At 46.8% G+C, this 17,670-nt stretch overlaps 1 protein-coding gene across 9 annotated transcripts in view; it reads left to right on the top strand.

The window, feature by feature from the left end:
* FAM20A (FAM20A golgi associated secretory pathway pseudokinase) overlaps nt 3,907-17,670 on the top strand; it is a 66,252-nt gene continuing 52,488 nt past the window's right edge. For 8 of the 9 annotated variants that reach the window (XR_002958041.2, XR_934487.4, XR_001752543.3 and 5 more), the window contains exon 1: nt 3,907-5,011. Coding sequence is in view for 4 of the 9 variants with exons in the window: in NM_017565.4 (NP_060035.2) it covers nt 4,608-5,011 (404 nt within the window). In the remaining 5 variants the exon portion in view is untranslated. Of the gene's footprint in view, nt 5,012-14,924; nt 15,151-17,670 lie in introns of all 9 variants that reach the window. The other variant, NM_001243746.2, reaches the window with a different exon arrangement.

Here is a 17,670-nt window from a genome sequence, read left to right as displayed (position 1 = left end):
TCTACAACAACCCTATTTCCAAATAAGGTAACGTCCTGAAGTATTGGAGGTTAGGATTTCAACAAGTGAATTTGAGAGCAGGATATAGTCAACCCATAACACATACTAAAAAGGAAACCCAACATGGCCAACGTTGTAATAGGGGAACATATGAGGAGCTGTGGGGGCACATGAGAGCACAAGGCACTGAGTTTAATGGGTATGAAGACAAGCATCAGAGAAAAATTGGACAAGTGGCCAAAGCTTGGGTGGACTAATGGGTGTTTTCCAGGTGGGGAAAGGAGAAAGAGCTTTCGGTTAAAGACACATCTGTGAGAGGTTGTGTGGGGAAAAGCAAGAGAGATCAGATTGTTACTGTGTCTGTGTAGAAAGAAGTAGACATAGGAGACTCCATTTTGTTATGTACTAAGAAAAATTCTTCTGCCTTGAGATTCTGTGACCTTACCCCCAACCCCGTGCTCTCTGAAACATGTGCTGTGTCAACTCAGAGTTGAATGGATTAAGGGCGGTGCAAGATGTGGTTTGTTAAACAGATGCTTGAAGGCAGCATGCTCCTTAAGAGTCATCACCACTTCCTAATCTCAAGTACCCAGGGACACAAAAACTGCGGAAGGCCGCAGGGACCTCTGCCTAGGAAAGCCAGGTATTGTCCAAGGTTTCTCCCCATGTGAGAGTCTGAAATATGGCCTCGTGGGAAGGGAAAGACCTGACCGTCCCCCAGCCCGACACCCGTAAAGGGTCTGTGCTGAGGAGGATTAGTAAAAGAGGAAGGAATGTCTCTTGCAGTTGAGACAAGAGGAAGGCATCTGTCTCCTGCCTGTCCCTGGGCAATGGAATGTCTCGGTATAAAACCCGATTGTATGCTCCATCTACTGAGATAGGGAAAAACCGCCTTAGGGCTGGAGGTGGGACCTGCAGGCAGCAATACTGCTTTGTAAAGCATTGAGATGTTTATGTGTATGCATATCTAAAAGCACAGCACTTAATCCTTTACATTGTCTATGATGCAAAGACCTTTGTTAACGTGTTTGTCTGCTGACCCTCTCCCCACAATTGTCTTGTGACCCTGACACATCCCCCTCTTCGAGAAACACCCACAAATGATCAATAAATACTAAGGGAACTCAGAGGCTGGGGGGATCCTCCATATGCTGAATGCTGGTTCCCCGGGTCCCCTTATTTCTTTCTCTATACTTTGTCTCTGTGTCTTTTTCTTTCCTAAGTCTCTCGTTCCACCTTATGAGAAACACCCACAGGTGTGGAGGGGCAACCCACCCCTACAAGGTTGGAGCACTTGGGAATTGCAGAAAGTCTTGTGGGGTGAAGACGAAAGAGGGGGCATATAAAGAAGAAAGGAGGTAGAAGCCAGACCACGAAGAGCTGTGTCACAATGAGTGACCTAATCCAGCAACAAGGAGAAGCTCAGGGGGTTTTCAGGAGGAGAATATCCTGGTTGCCTCTGCATACTAGAAGTCTCACTCTGGCAAGAGTGTGTGTGGGCACTGAACTAAGGTACCATGGAAGCAGAGGGACCAGTTAGAAGCCTATTTGCAAGTATGAGCAAGAGATTATGAGGCTCTAGATACATCAAGATCAGTAGAGATGGAAAAGGAGGGAGGGGCTTCCAATGAAAGATTTTAAACAGAATGATGGGTCCCAGCAAACAGCAATTTAGGATACCTTCAGTGTGAACGGAGAGGATGTATGTGAGGCTGGCAAGTAAGCCAGGGCCCAAGACATGGAAGATCGGAGGAGCAGGAGAAGGCTCATTTCTAGGAGGGGTAAAGGTAGATTAGAGGCAAACCTGAGGAAGCCAACATCCTATTGGCCAATCCTACTGGTAGGATTTCCACTCTCCTATCCAGCTTCATTCACACTTAATATCTAACTCCCACATGCAGTTCTGCACTTGACTGTGACCTTTAAAGGGCATGGAAAATATGTTTACATAATTTCCAAGCAAGTTACACTATTGTTCCCTAAATTGGGGCCAGAAAAAAAAGAGTCTACTAAGCGAGTATGACCCCATGGGTTGAGGAGAATTGAAGTCACAAGACCTGCAGTGTCACCACATCCACGTCCTTTGCCAGCCGAGAAAAATGCGCATCAGTTTGCCACACAGTTACTGCAGTTACATCACCACCATTCAATGCCTGACTTCTTCATTCGCTTGCCATGACATCTAATTAAACACATTAGAAGTTGCAACGTCTCTCAGAAATTGGAAATCAGTTAAAATTTAATTCCAGATAAAAAGGAGGAGGTTCTAGAACCCCTCAAAATGCCCACCATCATACCCAGAGGAGTGGAGTAGCTGGGAATAGTACCGTCTTGGGCTTTTTCACTTGGACTGGGCACTCAGGCCACAATGTTATGCCCCTGAAAGCAGGTTCCTTCCTGCTATCTTCCTTTTCCATCCTTTTCTATTTTTGTCCTAGCGATGAGCAGTCTCTAACCAAGCCTAGTGTACTACAGGAACTAATAAGTAATCATAATGATAGCAAACACATATTTCACACTTATTTAGGATGAGTTAGGAGCTCTTCTAAGTAATTTATACATAGTCAAGTGCCACATAACATTTTAGTCAATGCAACAGTGGTCCCATAAGATTACAATACTGTATTTTTACTGTATGTTTCCTATGTTTAGACACACAAGTACTCACCACTGTGTTACAACTCCCTACAGCATTCAGTAGTCGCATGCTGTACAGGTTTGTACCTAGGATCAACAGGCTATGCCATGTAGCCTCCGTGTGTAGTAGGCTGAACCATCTAGGTTTGTGTAAGTACACCCTGATGTTCACACACACAGGAAAATTGCCTAAGGATGCATTTCTCAGACGTGACACATAATTGTACTTCAATTCATTTAAGTCTCATAATAACCTTAGGAGGTAGGTTCCATCATTATCTTCATTTACATTTGAGGAGACTGCAAAGTCCCGAAGAAATCTTACACTGAACCACGGGGAAAAGAACTCTGGTCTGAACCCACAAGTCAAAGTATGTCTGAGGGTTCTCAATTCCAGCAAGGGAAGGGAGGGGGTTAAAGAGTAGAACTAACTTACATGGGAAGCTTTGCTGCCTGGGCAAGCAGCTTCTGGTGGATTTCCTGAAATTCAGCAGGGTGGGGCCGCCTCTCCAATCAGACTTCACTTTACTATACTATGGGGTCATTAAATAGAGGAGCCAGGAGTTCAGGACTCCCTCCCTCTTCTTCAAAAGGAAAACTGGGTGTGGGGAGGGTACATTACCTCACAGAATATTGGAGAAAGCCTAAATGTGTCCTCCAGTGATTCATTTGGGTGGACTACTTTCACACCAAGCTAAACTCAAAAGTTCGGAGTGGGGTCATCAGGGCCCCTCCCTCCCTGAGTGCAAGAAACATTTCCTCTTTTTAAAGTACAGGCAGAGTTGGAATCAAACTCCTTCCAAACAGGAAATCAGCAAGATTCTAGGTAAAACTGATACCTTACTTTTAAAGGTCAAGCTCTTTCCTTCACCAAGAGCGTGTTTCCTGAGCACCTACTATGTGCCAGGCATGTGGTAGGTAGTTGTTATGAATCTTGATGTGCCCTGCGCTCTGCAGGGGGGCGGAGGTGGAAGGGAACACAAAGAAAGAACAGATACCAACACTGCCACCCCCGCCTCCCCCCACCCCCCCCCACACACTCATTTGGCAAAGCTTACAGGAAAAAAAGGGTTTTAGGGGGCTTGTGGTGGTTTTTTTTTCCCTAAAAATAATAGAAATGGTAAAAAGAGGCTTCGGACCCCTCGCGTGAGTCCCTTAAAGTGACTGGATTGAGACCTGGGCAGGGAAAGTGGGAGGCCCGAGCGAGGGGGAGGGCGCAGGCAGTGGGTGGGTGACAAGGTGCAAGGGCAGCGCCGGCTTCGGATCGGGAGTTGGCCGTCAGCTGCGCCAGAGGCAGGTGCCAGCGGAGAGTGGGTGGGGGTGCCGGCGCCAGGCCAGGCTCGGGGAGGCCCCGCGCTACCTCTGCCTCTAGGAGTCCAGGCGCACAGACAAGCTCCCCGGAGCCGCTCCTGCTTCGCCAACTCCCCACTCGCGCCGCCCGTGCCAGCCGCCGGCACTGGCGTCTCCGCCGCCCGCAGGAGGAGTCGCGGGAGCACTAGCAGCCGCCGCCGAGCGACAGCATCCTCAGGAGAGACGCCCCGGGCTTTGCAGCCGGCGGCCTCCGTCCGCCCTCCGCGGTCGCCCCCCGCCCCGTCGCCCGTCCGCCCGCGGTGGCAGCCGGCGCCGGCGCCCCGGGGCCCTTCACCTGCCGCGAGCGTCCGGGCGGGCGGGCGCACGGGAGAAAAGGCGCAAGAAGCGGGCACCCCGGGAACCCCATTCCCTCGGCTCACTCGGCGCGGAGAAGCGACGCCCGCTGACTCCGAGAGCCCCGGTGCTCCGTGCACCTGGTCCCCAAGTTGAGGAGCGACACCCCTCCACAGGGGACTAGCCCGCGCGGGGAGCATTCCGGTCTCACTGACCCCGGCCCACCCGCGGGACTCCAGGCACCTCTTCTGCCCGCACCCCGCGACCCCTCCCGGGACCCCGGAGACAGCCGGCCTGCCCCCGGCGTCCCCCTTGGCCAGCACGCCATGCCGGGGCTGCGCCGGGACCGCCTACTGACTCTGCTGCTGCTGGGCGCGCTGCTCTCCGCCGACCTCTACTTCCACCTCTGGCCCCAAGTACAGCGCCAGCTGCGGCCTCGGGAGCGCCCGCGGGGGTGCCCGTGCACCGGCCGCGCCTCCTCCCTGGCGCGGGACTCGGCCGCAGCTGCCTCGGACCCCGGCACGATCGTGCACAACTTTTCCCGAACCGAGCCCCGGACTGAACCGGCTGGCGGCAGCCACAGCGGGTCGAGCTCCAAGTTGCAGGCCCTCTTCGCCCACCCGCTGTACAACGTCCCGGAGGAGCCGCCTCTCCTGGGAGCCGAGGACTCGCTCCTGGCCAGCCAGGAGGCGCTGCGGTATTACCGGAGGAAGGTGGCCCGCTGGAACAGGTGAGGACCCCGCCCGGGACGCGGGAGAGCGGGCGCTCTGGCCGGGGCCTCCCCGCGCCCCAGTCTCGAGTTTCCTGACGCCCCCGGCCCAGGGCTGCAGCGGCTCCACCCACGGCTCCAGCCCTGGCGCTGGGCTTAGAGTGTGTTCCCCACCCGAACCCCACCAGCTGTTGCAGACCTCACAGTCCAGTCCCGGAGTCAGATAGTACGAGGAAAAAGTTTCTATTGCAGCCGCACAGCGAAGAAACGCTCTCAGCCCCTTCCCCTTGAGCGCCTGGGTCGTCGTTGAGCCCCACTCCTGCTCCCTCGTCCACTCCCGCTCCCTCGTCCGCTCCCAAACCCCACTCTCTGTCCTGATGTGGAGGAAAGCTGCCGCTGGACTTCGGGTTTCCAGAATGAGGCCCCAAACAGGGTGACTCCAGAGCTAGTTGAAATTCAGCACTTAACTGTGCTCTTTGGGTAAACCTGGGCGCCTTCCAGAAAGCATGTTTCTCCCCAAAACCCAGTTCTTTCCCTTTCCTTATTCCTCTGCCCAGTTTCAGAGATCACAAGGGGGTCATCTGAGGCAGGAAGTAAATGGTCAGTTCTCTGCCGCAGCCACCCCATTGTTCACATTTAAAACGCGGCTTGGGCCCATCCAGCAAGTATTAGAACTTGAAGGCACTTTTATCGTCTTGTATGATCCTGGTGATTTGGACTGACTTGGATCTGCGGCTTGATGCTTCCACAGACGAGAAAAAAATCTTTCAGGGAATTTTTTAAACCCAAAGCAAAATACAGAGGAAAAAATATCAAATATATTTAGGATAAAATTAAGAATCTTTCTGGAAAAGGATGGGGGTGTTAGGGAAGGCAGCACGCTCATTACTGAGATCCCTTGCTAGTGGCAGGAAGCCTTCGTATGAGTTAAGGACTCTGTTTTGAAGTACAGAACTTGTCTAAATACCACTCACATGCAGAGTTCACTATCGCACCACACCCATCTCTTTACTTAATACAAGAGATTTCAAAGTAAGATGTCATCGGTGGTTTTATGGTCCCTCCAGAGGATGAGCAGACCATAAATCTCTCTTGAAACTCAGAGCTGGGCCAATTTAACTGTTTGCTCATTATTTTGTAATGCTGAGATTGAAGGGAGAAAAAAAAACCTTCAGAAATTTTTGCAAAGGAATAAGTTGAGTTGTTGGCTGAATCACTGTGGTGAATTTCAGTAGTAACTCTACGGCTCACATTTTATGTTAGAAAGAAAGTGATTCTCAATTCCACGTTAACTGTGTGCAGTAATAAAAGGCAGTTTGAGATTGCTTCTCAGACACTGTCATTTTCAATATTATCTTTATTTCGTCAATAACATGGAAGTCTGGCTTAGTGAACCAGGAAATTTTGCCCTTAGAAAAAGTATCTATATGTCTACTATGGATCTGAGAATGAGAGACTTTGGACAAAGTCACTTGCTTTTGTAAATGTGATCAGCATTCATTTAGTCACATTTCTGTGGTCTTAAACTTCCCGGTGTTACTTTGGACCCGAAGCAAAGTCCAGGGGAATATTATGGCAGAAAAGCAAAAATCTTTCTCACCAAACTGTTCTACAATCAGTTTTAAGCTTGATTTCTACACCATTATGTGTCAACAAAGACAAAAAAAACTCGCAAAAACACACATACTTTCTGACCAGAAATGATCTTGGTCATTTAACAGAAGATCAAGTGGGGGCTGGTGACCTTACTATATTCAGAGATCACAGAGTAGTTTTGTGTGGTTGCTCAAATGTGACATTTTCCCAAGTAAGGTTTGTGGGCCACAACAGGAGGACCCGCTGCACTTATAAATGTTAAAACTGGACCTCAGAGGCAGAGAACACTCTCCTTCCACCCAAACTGGATAGTAAATGTTAACATGAACATATTAATAAGCAGATGTGTTGTTACTTATATCAGGGTTAAAAATGAAACACAAGGCCGGGCAGGGTGGCTCACACCTGTAATCGCAACATTTTGGGAGGCAGAGGCAGAGGGAGGATCACTTGAGCCCAGGAGTTCAAGATGAGCTTGGGCAACATAGTAAGATGTCGTCTCAAAAAACAAACAAAAAAAATAGCCAGTGGTGACACATACCTGTAGTCCTAGTCACTTGAGGGACTGAGACAGAAGGATTGCTTGAGCCCAGAAGGTTGAGGCTGCAGTGAGCCATGACTGTGCCACTGCACTCCAGCTTAGGTGACAGTGAAACCTTGCCTCAGAAAAAAAAAAAAAAAAAACCATACAGAAGATTCATTAGCCAGGGTGAATTTGAGCCACACTCAGAGTTCTATTGTGAAAGGGAGTCACTCATTACCTTAAATGAGAGTGCTCCCTGCCAAATATGAGGATGTAGCAGTGCTGATGAAGACAGGGGGCCTGCCATTATGTGCAGGGTCGAGGACACCCCTAGATCCTAGCAGCAGACAAATAAATAGAATGGACAGCAGAGGAAGAAACAATGAAGGACCTTGCTAATTGTTTTTCTCTTCACAGACAAGCTCTCCTTGTTTGTAGCCCTGCCAATATTTAAAATCTAGTGATTTATAAACATATGAGGGCCAGGCACAGTGGCTCACACTGGTAATCCCAGCACTTTGGGAGGCTGAGGCAGGCAGATCACCTGAGGTCAGGCGTTCAAGACCAAACTGGTCAACATGGTGAAATCCCATCTCTATTAAAAATACAAAAATTAGTTGGGCATGGTGGTGGGCACCTGTAATCCCAGCTACTCAGGAGGCTGCGGCAGAAGAATCACTTGAACCCAGGAGGTGGAAGTTGCAGTCAGCAGAGATCGTGCCACTCTACTCCAGCCTGGGCAACACAGTGAGATTCCATCTCAAAAAAAAAAAATGTGGATGCCTCCATGCCAATACCTAACATGAAGTCCTATCCAAAATAATTGTATCAGCAAACTGTCCACCACACCAGGAGAAGTACAGAGAATAAAATAAGCCAAATCAGTGTTCTTCGCCACTTGCCCACAAGAGACCATTAGTCTGAGTGATTTTTTTTTTTTTTTGTAATTTTGACCATCATACTAATAAGAAATGGTATGAAGTCAGAAAGTATCCTTCCACAATTCAAGCTCATTACCAATAAGAGGTAGGTTATGGTGTGTCTCCCCACCTCCCCACTCACCCACACGTTCCTTTTTGATTTCACACAATGGAAGATGACATTTGTGCAGTTTTGAATGTCTTGGGTTTTTAATTAATATTTGTTCACTGGATGTCAACATTTAGACATGTAGTTAAGTTACAAATGGGAAGATGTGTTGATTTTTAAGGTGGGCTGTCTGTGTGCTATCTGGCCCTGAAGCTTTCTGCAAACCTCCTTCACTCACTGTTCTTCCCTCCCTTCCTTTCTTTTCCCCCCAAAAATGTAACTAAGTGTGGCACAATCCAAGTTAAAAATGTAATTAGGGAAAGTGTTTCTGTCAGGTGGTCAGCTGCTGATCACAGCCAGCCAGCCAACGCCAGGCTCCATCAAGCATGATGACACATTTGGCACCTGTATTGAACAGTGACGAGGAAAGTGCACAGGGAAGAAGGGAAATGAAGTCTTCACTTTCAGGCCATACACTAACAAGCCAGAATTGTGCTGCTCTTAGTCCTTTGCTTGAATAAGTGATGACGCAGGGCAGGCAGGCTTTACCTGGAGCACAGGTGATGGTTCACACTGTTGCTCGCCTTTGCATTCTTAGATACTGAGCTTTGGATTTCTTCTCTGGCCCACAAGCTGCCCAAGTCAGACAACATCTGTCTTTTGACGTGTCAAACTGATCAGCTTGGCCAGTTTTGCCCACATATGATTGGCCTTTTGGCCACATATCTTTGGTCAGTCTCTCTGTAACCCTCTGGTCTCGACAGGCAAGGTCAAACAGGGTCAGCTCTCCCTAATGTAGAAACCCCAGCAGCTATAACACAAATATGAGTTTTTGCTTTTCTTTCTTGACATCTTCCTCAGATGTCAGGAAGGTTATATTGTCTTGCAATTACAGATTCAGCATTTCTTAGGGGTGTGTGTGTGTGTGTGTGTGGTTTCCCACATCAGAAACTCCTGTCTTCTTCACCCCTCCTCCTACCTATTGCTGTCACTGAAAGAAAACCTAGTCCTGGGTCTCTCTTTGAAAATCACCGCAAAGAGACTGGGCAGCTTTTCAAAAATGACAGTTGGTCAAAGGGAGTAAGTTGGCTGAAGTTTTTCTGGGGGATGCTTTGAGAAGATCCAGAAGCCAAGGCAGATAGAGGAGAAGGGTGGAGAAGAAGTCAGGAGAGATGAAAAGGAATTCAGCTAGAAATAAGAATTGCCTCGTCTAGGAGCTTGGGGAAGATAAGCTCCTCCCTGCCCCAGCTCCCCCATGGCATCTGTGGAAGGAAAAATACAATCTCTCCATTCTCACTCCCATCTTTTTATCTCTGTCCTGCTTATTTTGTGCCTGCCCTAGAACGCTCTGAACCTAGATTTCTTGTGAGCAGGCAATTCAACCCGCAGGCTGGATGAAAGTCCAGGTTCTTACTCATGGATGGTGGCCATTTGCTTCTCTCCCAGAGTCAACAGGGCCTTGGCCCCTTGTTAGATTCTCCCGCCAACAATGCTAAGCTAAGACAGGAAGTGGCCTCCTGTGATTTGGAAATGGACCTCAACCACGGCCCGTGTGTGGTTAGCAGAGAGAGTGGGGAGCCTGACTTCCATTTCCCATTTCTCCCAATTAGAGCCTTGCTGGACTAGTTTTGGAAAAGATATTATTTTAGTGGTTTCCAAATCCCTGAACTTGTAGTTGGAGGAAACCTCTCCACTCCTCTCAGAATCAAAAGCTTCAAGCAGATGGTTTCTGAGAGGGCTGGTCCAGACGGCCATTATCAGGTTTTTTCTCCCTCATTCCAAAGCCTGTCCTCACTGCTGTTGCCACAGCAAAAACCTAAATCAGGGAGAGCATCAGTGTCATTCATCCAAGAAAGACAGGCACTTCCTGCTTCCAAATAGATCAAAATGAAGCCCTTCAGCTGAGAACCAGAGGCTGTTCCATTGTTCCTAACAACACTCTTCTTTCACCACAACCAAGTTCTCATCAATCCTGAGAACCCAAGTGGCTAATTTTTTGCATGCAAATGCTCCTACCTAAAACATGCTTGTTATGTGCCAGGCACATTACATACACTTATTTTAAGCCTCATAACCTCTGTAGAAATAGGTGCATGTGGTAGATGGAATTCCAAGACAGCCTTCCAAGATTTCCAGCCCTGGCATACACACCTCTCCTAGTTGTTCAGCCCACTGCTAATATGGGTACTGCTATAAAGGGATTTTACAGATGTAATTAAGGCCCCGTACCAGTTACCCTTGGGATATGGAGATTATCTGGTTAGCGTGACCTAATCCATGAATGATTTAAAGCAGAGAGTTTTCTTGGGCTGATCACAGGAGAGGAAGTGAGATTCAAAGCAGAATAAGGATTTGATGAGCCATTGCTGATTGAAGATGGAGGGGCCATGTGGCAAGGGATAGGAGCAATCTTTAGGCTAAGATTAGCCCCAGCTGACAGCCAGCAAGGAAACAGGGACTACAGTCCTACTGCCACAAGGAAAAGAATTCTGCCACCACCAAGAATGAGCTTGGAAGCAGATTTTTTTCCCCAGAACCTCCAGATGAGAAATCAACCTAGACACCACCTTAAATTCAGCTAAGTCCCTGTGCAAAGCATACAGCCACACCAAGCTGGACATCTGACCTACAAAACTGTGAGCTAATTAATGAGTGTTGTTTTAAGTTACTAGGTTTGTGGTACTCTGTTATACAGCAATAGAAGACAAATACAATACTGTTTTGTTTTTTTTTTTTTGAGACGGAGTCTCGCTCTGTCGCCCAGGCTGGAGTGCAGTGGCGCGATCTCGGCTCACTGCAAGCTCCGCCTCCCGGGTTCACGCCATTCTCCTGCCTCAGCCTCCCGAGTAGCTGGGACTACAGGCGCCCGCCACTACGCCCAGCTAACTTTTTGTATTTTTAGTAGAGACGGCGTTTCACCATGGTCTCGATCTCCTGACCTCGTGATCCGCCCGCCTCGGCCTCCCAAAGTGCTGGGATTACAGGCGTGAGCCACCGCGCCCGGCCAGTACTGCTCTTTACTTCATTTTATAGAGGAAACTGGAAACGAGAAAGTTATATAACCTGCCCAAAGTCAGGCAGCTAGAAAACCACAGGCAGGGTTTATACCCAAAGGGTCTGGCTTCAGAATCCATGCTCTTAACCACCAGCTCCACCACCCTATGTCCTTTGATGCCCAGATGTCCCAGCTTTTCCTCCTTTGGGAAGGCTTTTCTGAATACCTCTCCCCACTGTGGTCCCTCCCTGACTATATACATCCTCTCCATATGTACCATATAATTTTTTGATTTTCCACTATGTCCAGCTGTAACTTCATGGAAGCTGTCTGGAGCTTCATGTGAGAAGGAATGGTCACTTGCCCTTGGCATGAAAAGCCCCCAGCTTGCCCTGGTCGCTCTAATATAGCTGTTGCAGAGCCAGAGTAAATATCTGTGGAACAAATCATTGGAAACAGATGACACCAGGATTTGGGGGCTGTTAGTCAATGGCCTGTTATCTTCTTTGAAAATAGCCTTGAACAAAAACAATTCCAACTGTAAAATCATCCCACTTGTCTACTCCTCCCTGTAGAAGTCTAGAGCAAAACCACCCTGCTGAGACATTCTGAAATTTGGATGTGGAGTGCTCTTCTTATTGCAGTAGCCTAAATAAAATCAATGTCAAAAAAAGCCATGAAGGAAAGTTGAGAAAGCATCATTTGCCAAGAAAAGAGGGAATTTCTTCAGCTTCCTGTGCTTTCTGAGGAAGAGCAGCCAAGAAGTCTTGCATTAAAGAAAAATGGGAAATACAGAGACCTTGATTTAGCCAAAGCTATCCCTGCTCTGCCCCCTTGGCAGGTGCTGACCTGTATTTTTTGTAATTATTCATTAAGCTAGAGGCTGATGAGAGCCTGCGGATTCTGCTGAAGTAGGCTTGCATATGGCCAAAAGCCAAGTAGGGATAACATTCTAACCAGCTGCAGCTGTAGCAGAACAGAAGTTACTAGACATAAGTTCTTACCTGTTATTATAGGCAGGCACACACATATGCACTTAATGAAAACCACAGTACAGAAAAGAGGCTTAGCTCTTTTTGTGCCCTGTCACTTGGCAGAACATCCTATAGTTGAAATGTGAAATCAGGACAGAACTGAGTTTGAAGTGCTATGGAGATGGCAGCATCCCTGACTTTCAATCCCTGTAGCCTGGCTTTGGAGACCAAGCACTGGGGGCAGCCAGTAGACTCGGGCTTGAGCAAGAGGCAAAGTCAAGTCCCAGGGAAAAGCCTGTTTTATTGAATTCACTAGCAATAAGCCAGATAATAAATTTAAGAGGCCCCAGGGAACACAGCATAGTAGAGGAGTACTGTTCCTAAGAAGCCAAGAGCCTGTAATAAAATTCAGCAAAATACGGAAAGTAAAAAAGAAATTTAAGAAGTGTTGGCACAGGGTACATGGACTGAGAAGCTGGATCATGAAAAACAAGGTGGTGTGGAAAGAGATGAGATTTTTAAAAGCTTGGGAGAGGTTGATGGGATAGGAAAGATGTCCACTGAAGAAAAACAGCGCTGTTCAGCCCTGGCAAGTGAAGCGCAGCTCTCAGATTGCAAATTTACCTTCAATCGTCAACACCTAGGTTGAGCTCCACAGGTTGTAGGTAAATCTTTTTGATGATACCAACCAAAATGGAATATATACGGAGGGACAGATTGTCTCTCCTGGCCAATTCAAGTGTCCTTACAGGGTCTCAGTTTCACCAGTTGAAACGGAATTTTTTTATAATTCTGATTTTCTTCAGTGGCTGAATACTCATAAATCCCATAGGGAAAGTATGTCTATCTGCCTCCACAGCTGGCTCACGTACTTTTTTTTAACCCCATTCATAGTTAACTCATAGCTCAGAATTATGCACAACCAGTAGCTGCTTATTTTCACATTCCATGCAGCCCTGAGCACTCAGATAGGAGAAAAGTTAGATTGACCAACCTCAATTCCATAATCAAATCCAGCCCCTTGTTAACCAGAGTTTCATTGCAGAAGTTTTGTAATTGGGGTCATTGGATCCCACTGAGTCCAGTTGGTGAGGTCCATTTTTCCCTTAAGTTTCATGCAAAATCTGCATCCAGTGCATATGTTCATTTTCTTACTGTTGCAGAACTTTCTCCTTAGTTCAGCTAAAACTGGGCTCTTTTCACACCACCAGGAAAGATTAGGTTCACGGACACATAGAAGGGTGAGGAAAACGGAATTTACTGGGCAAAAAGGAAAAAAGAAAGATACCTCTCAGCAGAGCAAGAGAGAGTCCTGCTAGCAAATTTCCCGCCTCACAGACTGAATCCCAGGTCACCACACAGGAACAGGAGAGGCCAGGCTCCTCCCCACGCAAACGGGGTGACCTTCCCGAGGCTCCACCCCCATCCTCCCAGTGCGCAGGCGCAGGTCGGCGTGATTAAGAAAGGATCAGCTGGGAAAGGGAGGGCTTCATCTGGGACCAGCAGTCCGGTTGTTCAGCCTTCAGGCTGTTTTAGGCTTGAAGGTGGGGTTTCGCCAGGGACCCTTAGCTGTCTCCTGTCTCTATCACTAGCAAATAAGTCATTATATTTTTTAAGTATTCCCCACATTCATCAGGATTCTGCGGTTTCATGTGACAGAAACCCAATTCAAACTCACTGTAGGAAGAAAAGGAAGTTTTAGACTCAGTAACCAAACCTCAGTAAGGGCAGAAGGAACTGCCCTCACAGCATTAAAAAGAGTCCTTGGGGCCGGGTGCGGTGGCTCACGCCTGTAATCCCAACACTTTGGGAGGCCGAGGCGGGCGGATCACGAGGTCAAGAGATTGAGACCATCCTGGCTAACACGGTGAAACCCCGTCTCTACTAAAAATACAAAAAAATTAACCGGGCGTGGCGGCGGGCGCCCAGCTACTCGGGAGGCTGAGGCAGGAGAATGGCGTGAACCCAGGAGGTGGAGCTTGCAGTTAGCCGAGATCGCGCCACTGCACTCCAGCCTGGGCCACAGAGTGAGACTCCCTCTCAAAACAAAACAAAACAAAACAAAACAAAACAGAGTCCTTGGACTCTGTGTCTTTGTCTCTATTCCCTCTTTCCATAGTTCATCTGCTTATCTTCATCCCTTCCTGTGGCCCATGTACCCAAAGCCTTGGGACTAGACAGAGAAGGTTTCTCTGATTTCCAAAAAGAAAGATCCTGGGCAAAGATGCTCATTGGGCCAGGTCTGGGAATACAGCCAGGCTTCAGAGGGCTACAGTTGGCCCAGATGGAGGCTGATTCCCACCGTCCAACCAATCACTGATGCCAGGGAGGCGGAGTCATTAGAAGCACGTGGCTCAGAGTGGGGAAGAGCAGTTCCCCCGAACCAAGATGGAAATGCAGACTGACAGGGTGGTGGAGGGGCTTTAGTGACTAACATGGTACCAGAAAGTTTCTCAACTTGTGTCTGCTACAGTCACTGACTCCTATGGCTGCTGCTCTAAGGTTTTAAGAATTTTAGAAAGCAAATTCAATCATAAATTCACATGTGCAGACTTTTTATACCAACTATTAAAATCCTCCCAAGGAAATAGGAATCTTTATTTGGGCATTCTTTTAAAGCGACTTTGGTCTTTTTGTGAGAGCATAAAAAAGAAACTGATGGGGACCCAGCTCCTTCACGGGTTCATGTCTCTTTCTCCCACGGGTTCATGTCTCTTTCTCCCACGGGTTCACGTCTCTTTCTCCTGAAAAAAGAGGTCTCAACTGGGAGCGAAGATACCTGTGTGTAAGTCCTGAGAAAAGTGTTTTCTTCCCCAGGCCTCAGTTCCTGCTTTTGAAAGGAAGAGGGGGAGTCTGTGACCCCTGAGGCCTCCTTGCAACTCTGTTTTCCAAGCTTTGCACATCTTCCGAATTTCTTCTTCAAAGTCTACCCTAATGAAATATCAGACAATTTTCCAAGTGTGCTTCATGAACTTCTGGGAGGTGCTTCACAGTTTCTGCAAATGATTGATTGAATTTTCACTTTGAAAAAATATACTTTAAGGTAATTTTTATATAATTTAAGAAAACCTACACCCAATTGTGTTATGCACCATTATGATCCTGCCTCCAGTAACTGTGCTGACAGATGGCTTCTCCTCTCATCTTTGTTTAATTGAGGAGTATTCTGAGATTGCAAAGTGAGCTGTTAAAAGCTGTTTCCTGCTGCAACTACTTACAGATGTTTATCAGGATTTTCAATACTCTGCTACCAAAATAATATATAGAAATTGATTGGGTGCTAAAATAAGATTATTCCTGTCTCCCCTTACATCCAATTTTGAATGTTTGCATTAATAATCGTATTATCCTTCTTGTTTTCATTGATTAACTTTTTAAACAATTTTATATATTTGACCATATGTTAGATTTATATCAATAAATTACAAATTGTGTCTATTTCATACATTGAAGTTTCTGTATAATATTTCTTTTGAAAAGAAGCTGCCACTTCTAGAAATTTTTTTTAAACCACTGATTTGCAATATTTGAAAATAGAGTAAACTTCCTTCCTTTCTCCAAAATTGATGTGCCCAAACCCAAGACTTCTGCTCCCCTTGCCCCCAACTCCAAACTATTATCACTAGTAAGAACATGGTATTGGTCTCTGATAACTCCTTTCCATGACTTTGACAATGCTTCTACCACTTGAGCCTAAGAGAGTATCTTTTAGGCCCTGTGTACTGTTAGCTTTTGCTGTATAACAAACTATTCCAATACTTAGTGACTTAAAACAAAAGCCACTTATTTAGCCCCCGATTCTGCAGGTCAGCACTTCTGGCTGGGTTCAGCTGAATGGTTCTTCTGGTCTCTACTGGACTTACTCAGGTGTCTGTAGTCAGCTACTGCATTGGTTCCGCTGATCTTGGCTGTACTGCCTCCCATGTCTGGGTTCTGGGCTGGAATGGTGATCTTGGCTCCACGTGGCCTCCACCTCTCATTCTCCAGGAGGCTAATGCAGACTTGTTCATATAGTGGCAACAGGGTTGCAAAAGAGGGTAGAAGCCTCCACAGCCTCTTGAAGTACAGGCCAGAACCTGTTAAATGTCATTTCTGCCATACTATGTTGGCCAACATAAATCAAAGGCTATCTGGGGAGATTCAGGAATCCTGGCCATTGAAGAGAAAGTGGTCTACACAACTTAGTTCTCTTCTACTGAGCAAAAGCTCAAGGGAAATCCCTTCTGCTGGTGAGTTGTCCAGCAGTGGGCAGACAGCTGATAGTGGTAAGACCCCGTGCCATATGTTAAAGTGAAAGAAATTGAATACAACCCTTCAAAAACCTAATGAGGCTGGTATAGACTGAATTGTGTCTCTTCAAATTCACATGCTGAAGTTCTAAACTCCAGTACACCTCAGAATGTGACTGTGTTTGGTGACAGGGCCTTTTAAGAGATAATTAAGGTTAAATGAGGTCCTGTGGGTAGGTCTTGATCCAATATGATTGGTGTCCTCATAAGAAGAGAGATACAAGGAACTCATGCACATAGAAGACCATGTGAAGACACAGAGAGAAGGCAGCCATCTGCTAGCCAAAGAGAGAGGCATCAGAATGAAATCAACCCTGCTGACACCACGAACTTGGACTTCCAGCCTCCAGAACTGTGGGAAAATACATTTCTGTTGTTTAAGCCACCTAGTCTGTGGTATTTTGTTATGGCATCCCTAGAAAACTAAAACAGAGGCTAACTCACCTGGAATGGCCAAGGACAATCTGCTGGCTTAGGCCTGTCTCCATCTCAGTTCCCTGGGGCAGGGGCAAAGCCATATCTGAAATTTTCTTTTTCCTCCCATATGGTTCTTACAGCCTCAAGAGGCCTCTTGGCCTTTCCTTCCTTAAAGAAGTGACCCCAGCCTCTCTGCCTCCCAGATGAGACAGTCTGGAGCCTGGATCCTCTCCTTAAAGCAAAATATCTAGTTCATCATTTATTATCTTTTTAATCTATTTGTTTATGGATGGGCTTTGAGCTCCCCTTCTTCTGGGCCCCCTTTTTTTTTTTACGTCAAAAGCTGAAAACTGGCTCTTTGTCTCTCTTGGCATTCCTCCTGTAATTGTTCTACTCCTACCAAGGCTGCAGATGCTGTGGTTGGATGAATCAAGCATACAGTATCATCTCACAAAGGTTTTAAAGCTTGCTTTGTAAACTCATAAGCACTTCCTTTCATATTAACCAACATAATACGTAGAAACAAAAGTGAAGGTTTGTTTTTCTTCATCAGTTCTGTTGACAGCCTATATTTTATGTGTATTTCCAAGACCATTATCTGTTCATTTATCTACAGGGCACTTGTGATAATAGTTGTTAAGATTATTAACACCATGAACATGTAGAGTCCTTTCCACTTCTTGAAGCTCTTTTAAATTGTATGTCATTAGATCACCACAGCAAAATATTGGTCTTTATAATTCGTAAGACTCTGGCCTGAAAATCTCCATGGAAAGGCATCCAGCCAATTGATGTTTTATTATGAAGCAGCTTGCCCATTGCCCCAGACTAACTGGGCTTTAGTTGTCCACAGTGGA

This window comes from Homo sapiens, chromosome 17 (genome assembly GCF_000001405.40).
Source record: "Homo sapiens chromosome 17, GRCh38.p14 Primary Assembly".
NCBI lineage: Eukaryota > Metazoa > Chordata > Mammalia > Primates > Hominidae > Homo > Homo sapiens.
Note: the sequence above shows the minus strand (reverse complement) of the source record. Positions and strands in the feature narration are given on the sequence as shown.